At 34.9% G+C, this 9,216-nt stretch overlaps 1 annotated feature.

The window, feature by feature from the left end:
- Positions 260-460: a silencer, noted in NCBI's record as "peak5125 fragment used in MPRA reporter construct". NCBI's record gives its function as "represses an SCP1 promoter by STARR-seq MPRAs in K562 erythroleukemia cells {active_cell/tissue: K562}" and the evidence as "EXISTENCE:reporter gene assay evidence [ECO:0000049][PMID:32103011]".

Below are 9,216 nucleotides of genomic sequence, written 5' to 3'. Positions count from 1 at the left end.
CTTTTATCAACTTAATATCTGTACAAGGTATGAAACTTAGATGAATGAATATATTTTTGCCCATGTAAGTCCAATTGCCCCAGCACCACTTGCTAATTTGTTGAATTACTTTTGCACCTTTGTCAAAATAATTTGTGTTACTACTGATTACAGTAAAATTACAGTGTGATATTGATAAAGAATGAACACATAGATCAGTGGAACAGAGTAGAGAGCACAGAAATAGACTCATACAAATATAGTCAACTGATCTTTAACAAATGGTAAAAGGAAGTTCGATGGAGAAAGGATTGTCTTTTCAATCCTTGGAGAATGATCTGCACAACCTAAAAGAAAATCTGCTGACCCAAGTGCACAACACTGGTAAATGAGATAAGCTTCCTGATACCGCTGCATGCCGGCCTCACAGGACACAGTGAGCCTGCTTTCATACCCAGTACATTGTTACTACACCCAGCATCTGAGAAAGTCACCATACAAAGGCCATCTATAATCAAGGAACTTATACAGAGTCTTTGCCACTGAAAGAACCCAGAACCAAAGCCAAATATTCTGCACAACACACATTATAGTCACATCCTCAAGGGAAGAAAAATCCCATCAAAATGCAGAAAATTTAAAAATATGGAGAGATAGCTTATCCAGATGAGAAGAAATCAGAGAAACAATTCTGAAAGTATAAAAAAACCCAGAATATTTCAACACCCCCAAAGGACCACATTAACTCTCTAGCAATGTGTATTAACCAAAATGTACTTTTTGAAATATCAGATAAAGAACTCAAAATATTGTCTTTTAAAGAAGGCCCATGATATCTAAGAGAAAGTTGAAAAGCAACACAAAGAATTCAGAAAAACAATTCGGGATATAAAAAGAGACAGACATTATTTTAAAAAAAAACAAAAACAGAACTTTTGGAAATTAAAAATTCACTGAAGGATTTACAAAATAGAGTTGAAATCTTCAACAATAGACTTGTCCAAGCAGAAAAATTATTTTATAGGTGGTAGACAGGTCTTTTAGAATAACACAGTCAGATAAAAATAAAGCAAAAAGAATTTACAAAGACTTTGAGAAATACGGGACTATGTAAAGCATCCAAACATATGATTTGCAGGTATTCTTAAGGGAGAAGAAGAAAAAGTAAAAAGTATGAAAAACCAGGTAAGGCAATAATTCAGGAAAACTTCCCTGGTCTTGCTAGAGATCTAGACATTCAGATACAATAAACTCAGAGAACTCCTGAAGGATACATTGCAAGAATCTCACCAAGGAATATAGTCATCAGAGTATCCAAAGTAAACATGAACCAAAAAGTGCTAACAGTGGCAAGAGAGAAGCATCTAATCACCTATGAAGGAAATCTCATCATACTAACAGTGGACTTCTCAGCTGAAACATTATATGCCAGAAGAGACCGGGGTCCTGTTTTCAGTCTTCTTAAAGAAAACAAATGCCAGCCAAGAATGTTGTATTCTGCTAAACTAATCTTCACTAATTAAAGAGAAATAAAGTCTTTTTAAGGTAAGCAAACACTAAGAATTCATCAACACTAGACTCGTCCTGTAAGAAATGCTCAAAGAAGTTCTAAACGTGGAAATGAAAGGATGATTCTCATCATCACAAAAACACATGAAAATGTAAAACTCACAGGTTATATGAAACAATTACACAACTGAGACTGCAAAGCAACCAAGTAATAACTAACATTATGGCAGGGACAAAACTTCATGTACCAAAACTAACCATAAATATAAATGGACTAAATGCTCCACTTAAAAAATATAGGCTGGCAGAATGGATAACAAAACAAGATCCAACTACATGCTGCATAGAAGAAACCTACCTAAATGGTAAAGACATTTACAGACTCCAAATAAAGGTGAGTAAAAAGAGACTTCATGCAGACAAAAACCAAAAGTGAGCAGGAATAGCTATGCATATATCAGATAAAACACTTCAAATCAACAACAGTTTAAAAAGACAAAGAACATCATTATATAAGATAAGGAGATGAATTCAACACGAGAGCACCCAGACTGATACGACAAATACTACAAAGTATTTGTCTAAGGCCTAAGAAAAAAATACAGATCCCAATAAAATTATAGTGAATGTCAATACCCCACTGACAGCACTAGACAGGTCATTGATGCAGAAGATCAAAAAAGAAATTCTGGTTAAATTGGATGCTAGACTTAACAGACATTTACAGAATTTTCTACCCTAGAACAATAGGATATACATTCTTCTTGCCTGCACAAGGGATAGTCTCAAAAATTGACCATGTGCTAGGCCACAAGGAAAGTCTTAATAAATTTTTAAAACTTGAAATAATATTAAGTACCTTATTCGAACCACAGGGGAATAAGACTATAAATTGACACCCAGAGGATCCCTTAAAACTACACAAATACTAAATAATCTGCTTTTGAATAATTGTTAGGTCAAAATGAAATTCAGGCAAAAATCAAAAAATTTTTGGAAAGAATGAAAATAGAATCAGAACATACCAAAACCTCTGGGATACAGCAAAAGCAGTGCTAAGAGTAAAGTTTATAATGTTGATGTCTGCATCAAATAGATAAGAAGATCTCATGTAAACAACCTAACACTGCACCTAAAACAACTAGAAAAACAAGAACAAACCATACCTAAAGCTAGCAGAAGATAATAAATAACAAAAATTAACAGAACTATATAAATTGAGGTTTAAAAAACACAATACAAATGATCAATGAAACAGAAAGTTGCTTCTTTGAAAATGATAAAATTGATAGAATACTAGCTAGATTAAAAAAGAAAATAGAGAAGATTAAAATAGGCACAATAAAAAATGATAAAGATGTCATTGCAACTAACAGGAGAGAAACAGAAAAGCTCATCAGAGGCTACTATGAGCATCTCTATGCACACAAAGTAGAAAATCTAGAAGAAATGGGTAAATTACTGAAAACATACAGCCTCTTAAGATTGAACCAGGAAGAAATAGAAATCCTGAACAGGTCAATAATGAACAGTGAAATTGAATCAGTTATTAAACATCTGCCTGGGGGTGGTGGGGGAAAGCCCAGGACCAGACAGCTGGATCCCAGCCAGTTTATTTCAAACAGGCATGGGAGAACTGAAACTAATCTTACTGAAACTGTTCTAAAAAATCAAGGATGAGGGAATACTCCCTAACACATTCTACAAAGCCAGCATCACCCTGAAAGCAAAGCTAATTAAGTGTACAACATGAAAAAAATACACAGACCGGCAGGGCATGGTGGCTCACGCCTGTAATCCCAGCACTTTGGGAGGCTGAGGCGGGCAGATCACAAGGTCAGGAGTTCAAGACCAGCCTGGACAACTTGGTGAAACCCCGTCTCCACTAAAAAAATACAAATTTTAGCCGGGCATGGTGATGTGCGCCTGTAATCCCAGCTGCTCGGGAGGCTGAGGCAGGAGAATTGCTTGAACCCTGGAGGCAGAGGTTGCAATGAGCCGAGATTGCACCACTGCACTCAGCCTGGACAAAAGAACAAGATTCCATCTCAAAAAAAAAAAAAAAAAGAAAAGAAAAAAAGAAAAGAATATACAGACCAATATCTCTGATGAATTGTAACGTATATACCACACTAAACAATATGTTATAAGGGAAACTGGGTAGGATGAGAGGCTATATAGGAATTTTCTGTACTTTCCACTCAATTTTTTATAAACCTAGAATTTCTTTTTTTGAAATAAGTCTAATAATAAAAAATAGTTGGGCATATTTTATGGTTCGACTTCTGCAATTTTTATTCTGTTCCATTGAGCTACTCTTCTACCAATACTATGCAGTCTTGAATACCTATACAGTTAGTCTTGAAATCATTTAGACTCATTAAAATTCTACCTTATTATTAATTAAATAAATCATTTTAGCTATTTTACTTTCTTTGTTTTTTTCATACACATTTTAGAATAATCTTGTCTGTATAGAGAAAAAATCTTGTGTAATTCAATAAAAGTTACATTAAATCTCTATATCAATTTGGGCAGAATGAACAGTTCTATCATGTTGAGGCTTCTTATCTATTTGATTTCTCAGCACTTTGTAGTTTCTAGAATACTCTTGATACCTCATACAGTCCTCTACATGTCTTGTTAGATTTATACCTAAGTGTCTCTTTTTTTCCTGATTTTAGTGGTATTGTATTTTTAATATTACTACCTTGCATTCTTTGCTACTATTTAGAAATATATTAGGTTGTTGTAAGAGTAATTTCCATTTTGGACTGTGAATTTTAAATCATTATAACTAGTCTCAAACATATCTTTATCAATCAAAATAGGAACCATTACAATCAACGCATTTTTGCCAATAAGAAATGTTTGCTTATTCTTGTAGTGTAAAAATCTGTGCTTCAGAATTTGATGCAATCTTGGAAAGCATTTTCTGCACCCTACTGGTTGTGGAAGTGTTTTCCCTGCAAAAAGTTGTTGAGATCCTTGAAGAAGTGGTAGTCAGTTGGCGAGGGGTCACGTGAATATAACAGATGAGGCAAAACTTTGTAGCCCAATTCATTTGACTTTTGAAGCATTGTTTGTGTGACATGGGGTCAGCCGCTGTCACGGAGAAGAATTGGGCCATTTCTGTTGACCAATGCCTGCTGCAGGCATTGCAGTTTTCAATTTATCTCATCGATTGGCTGAGCATACTTCTTAGATGTAATGATTTCGCCAAGATTCAGAAAGCTATTTTGGATCATACCGGCAGTAGACCACCAAACAGTGACAAAGACTTTTTTTTTGGTGTAAGTTTGGCTTTGGGAAGAGCTTTGGAGCTTTTTCTCCGTCCAACCACGGAGCTGGTTGTCATACAAAATCCACTTTTCATCACACATCACAATCCGATTGAGAAATGGTTCATTGTTGTTGCATAGAATAAGAGATGACAACACTTCAAAATGACAGTTTTTTAAAATTTTCACTCAGCTCATGAAGCACCCACTTATCGCTTTTTCACTTTTCCAATTTGCTTCAAATGCCAAACAACCATAGAATGGTCGACATTGAGTTATTCAGCAACTTCTCGTGTAGTTGTAGGAGGATCAGCTTCAATGATTGCTCTCAATTGGTCATCAGCTTCACATGGCCGGTCACTATGCTCCTCATCTTCAAGGCTCTTGTCTCCTTTGCAAAACTTCTTGAACCACCACTGCACTGTACCTTTGTCAGCAATTTCTGGGCTAAATGCATTGTTGATGTTGCAATTTGTCTCTGCTGCTTTATGATCCATTTTGAACTCAATAAGAAAATCGCTCAAATTTGCTTTTTATCTAATATCATTTCCAGAGTCTAAAATAAATATAAAATAAAGAGCAAGTAATAAGTCATTCGCAAAAAAAGCGAGAAATGTGCGTTAAAATGATGTACAACATAACCACATTTATTTAAGAATGTATTCCAATATCAAACAGCAAATTTCAACAATGCAACAACTGCAATTATGTTTGCACCAACCTGATAATGTAGCTTTTTATGTTTATGAAACCTCACTGAAAGCACTTACTAGTTCTAGGGGTTTTATTGTGTACAGCCCTTGAAAGTCTCTGTAGACAATCATGTTATCTGCAAAGTATGTAAGTTATAAAAGTCTAATTGGAGTATTTAATCCATTTAGTTTTAATGTAATTATTGATATTTTAGGGCTCAAGCCAGCCATTTTATTTTTGGTGTTTTGTTTATCATCTTTGCTTTTTATTTCTCTGCTTACTTTTTCCTGGAGCTATCTTAAACATTTTTTATAATTCAATTTTGATTTATCTGTAATATTTTTAAGGATGTCTCTTTAGACAGCTTTTTCATTATGAGACTATTTATGCTAGAAATAAGATTCTAAATTGACTGTTCTTTTTTTTCAGTGCTTGCTGTTTTTAATAATTTTTCTTTATCTTTAGTTTTCAGAAGTTTGACCACATGTTTCTTGGCATGTCCTTTGTTTTTTTCTTTTGGGAGTTCACTCAGCTTCTTGAATCTATAGGATTGTGCCTTATGCCAAATTTGGGAAGTTTTCAGTCATTATTTCTTTGAGTACCTTTTTATTCTCTCCCTTTTTTATCTTTCTTCCAGATGTAGATGGCATGAGAGTCAGAACTTTATTATAGTTTCACAGTGTTCCATGGTGGGCCTATCCTATACAAGCCTATCCTCAAAGTCCAAGGAAGTTGAGAGGCCAAAGAAAGAGGCTGGCATATCCAGTTTCTCAGAAATACATGTTTAATAAGGGCCTACAGATAGAAGCCATGTCTGTGTTTTGGGCTGTGGCGAGACCAGGTGTTGGAACCTCCTACATTCCGAAGGGATGTGTAGGACAATTGAAGTACAATAACATCAAGGTTGTTTTGACCTAAGAGCAGGATTTACAGTAAGTAAGTGCTCTTTGCCAAGAAACAAAAGACATACTGGAAATCTTAGAGGCCTTCCTAGAATAGGGGTTAATCAGATGTCAACATGGTGGATTAGCCTCCAAGATGAAGTTGCTTTAGCCTCCACATACAGGTTCCTAAAGCTCTATTTTTTTCTGTCTGATTTGTTTTACAGATTAAGTAATTTCTTTTTTCTATCTTGAAGTCCACTGACTCTTCTTTCCATTCTATTCAATTTTTTGAGCCCATTCATTGAGTTTTTTTATAATTATGGTATTTTTTAGTTCTAAAATTTCCATTTGGTTCTTATTTATATCTTCTATATTACTGTTGAGATTTTTCTTTTTTCTGAGACATTCTGATTTTTTCTCTAATATGTTTATAAATTGCTCATGAAAAATTTTTATGATGACTTTTAAAATCTTGTCAGATATTTCTAACATTGTTGTCATCTCTGTTTTGGCATCTGTTGATTGCCTTTTTTTCATTTTTGAGATCTTTCTGATCCTTGCCATAATGAGTGTTTTTCAATTGAAACCTGGATATTTTGGGTGTTTTATGGAACTCTTGTTCTTATTTAATCTTTCTGTTTAGCTGTCTTATTTTGACACCATTCTAGCATGGAAAGATGTGAGCACCACCTACTGCCAGGTGAGGATAGAAGCACAGGTTCCACAATTACATGCATTGACACCTGAGGGTAGGAAGATTCCTCATTGCTGCAGGAAAAGGATGGAGTTGTAGCTCTCCAGTAGGCCTCCACTGAACATCGCCTTGTCTGGAAGGGATAGGAGTGCCTTTTAACTGCTTCCCACAGAGCCTCTGCTTACACCAGAATGGAGGGGTCTTATTAGCACTGGCGTTGATGGCAATCCTGATTCTCTATTTAACTTCCTCTGATATCACTCCAGTCAGGAGTGGGTGGAGGTCACCTTATGATGGATAGAAATTCTACATCCACAAGTAGTCACCACTGACATCAAGGGGAGGGAGATGGCTTATTATCTACCCAATAAGGATGAAAGTCCTGGCTTTCTAATTGGCCTTCTCTGACACCACAAGGGAGGAATTAGGTGCCTAGAAAATGTGGAAGTCTACTTTCCCCACCCTTACTGGTAAGTGTGGAGCCACAGTTCTTTTCTGTGGTAGATGGCTAGAATAAAGCATTTACCGTATAAAAGATTTTTGTCTTGCTAGGTTGTTCCTTTCCTGGTACTTTGGCTAGAAAAAATGGCCTTTTATGGGTCTCTTATTTTCTGTATCTGTTGGTGTTTGCCGATTGCCAGCTTCTTCAACTGAGATATATGAGGCAAAGAAAAAACCCAAGTAACTTACCAGAATGTTGTTCCTTGAATCCAGAGTTTGCTAGCTAGTCTGTCTTCTTTTTCTACCTTCAATGTCTTCTTATGTTTGTTTTATATGTAATGTCCAGAGTTTTTAGTTGAACTTAGTAGAAGAAATAGGAAAAAAAAGATGTCTACTCCATCTTTCCAGAAGCAGAAGTCCTTCTCCCTGATTTTAAAACCTCAATTTACCAAGAAGTTTAGCTACAAATTTTACATACAAAAAAGTTAAGTATTAGTCATTTGCTAATCTGGCCACTAAACATTTGAGTGCAGCTCTTTTCCCTTTTTCGTCATAAAGGCTTAACACCTCCTTACACAAAAGATCTTCCATTGATTTTTGGAGGTGTTTTTTAATATTAACATTATCAAAACTACAGAGGTTTTCATTTTGGCATCATAATTTTAACATTTCAATGAAGAAATAAAAATTTGCCCTTGTTTATTTAAAAGGCTGAATAATATTCCACTGTGTGGACATATCACACTTTGTTTATTCATTTATCTGTCAATAAACATTGCTAAAATAACTAAATAGGAGGCAATTCACCTGAGGCAGCTTCAGTGCCCTGAGATCCAATATAAGCAACCTAAATCTAACTTGAATGCCTTCCTTGTAACTAACTTAGAGAGAGATAAAATTTAAACTTAATCAATCAGAAACCACTAACTTCAAACTGCATAACTAGAAATTTCCACTGGGTAATCCAAATAAGGCAACTACATAACTGTAAACAATTATTTTCTTTGCTTTGCTTTCCCACTCACCTTATAAAACCCTGTCTTTGAAACCTTTCCTCCCCGACCAACTAGCACCACAATTGAGTGCTGTCCAATTCATAAATTGCTGTTTGCTCAAATAAACTTTTAAAATGATTAATGTGACAGTTTAAGTTTTAATATTTTGGTTATTTTCACATCTTGGCTATTATGAATAATGCTGCAATGAACATAAGAGTGCTAATATCTCTTCAAAAACCTGATTTCAATTCTAGTGAATTGAACCAGAAGTAGAATTGCTGGATCATATGGTAGTTCTATTTTTAATTTTTTGAGGAATCTCCATGCTGTTTTCCCTAGTGGCTGTACCATTTTGCATTCTCACCAACAGTGTATAAGGGTCCCAATTTCTCCATATCCTTGTGTACACATATTATTTACTCATTTTTTTGTCTTGTTTTGCTTTGGTTTTATTTATAATGGCCATTGTAGCATGTATGAGGTGATATCTCATTATGGTTTTGATTTACATTTCCCTAATGATTAGTGATGTTGAGCAACTTTTCACACACTTGTTGGCCATTTTTATGTTTTCTGTTGAGAAATGTCCATTCTCCTTAGCCCATTTTAAAGAGGTGTTTGTTTGTTTATTTATTTATTTATTTATTTATTTATTTATTTTACTATTGAGTTGTAGAATTTCCTTATGTACTTTGGATTATAACCTCTTATCAGACATATGGTTTGCAAATATTTTT

The sequence above is a fragment of the Homo sapiens genome, chromosome 4, assembly GCF_000001405.40.
Source record: "Homo sapiens chromosome 4, GRCh38.p14 Primary Assembly".
Classification (NCBI taxonomy): Eukaryota; Metazoa; Chordata; class Mammalia; order Primates; family Hominidae; genus Homo; species Homo sapiens.
The sequence above is the reverse complement of the archived record's forward strand: the minus strand, read 5'-3'. Positions and strand labels throughout refer to the sequence as shown.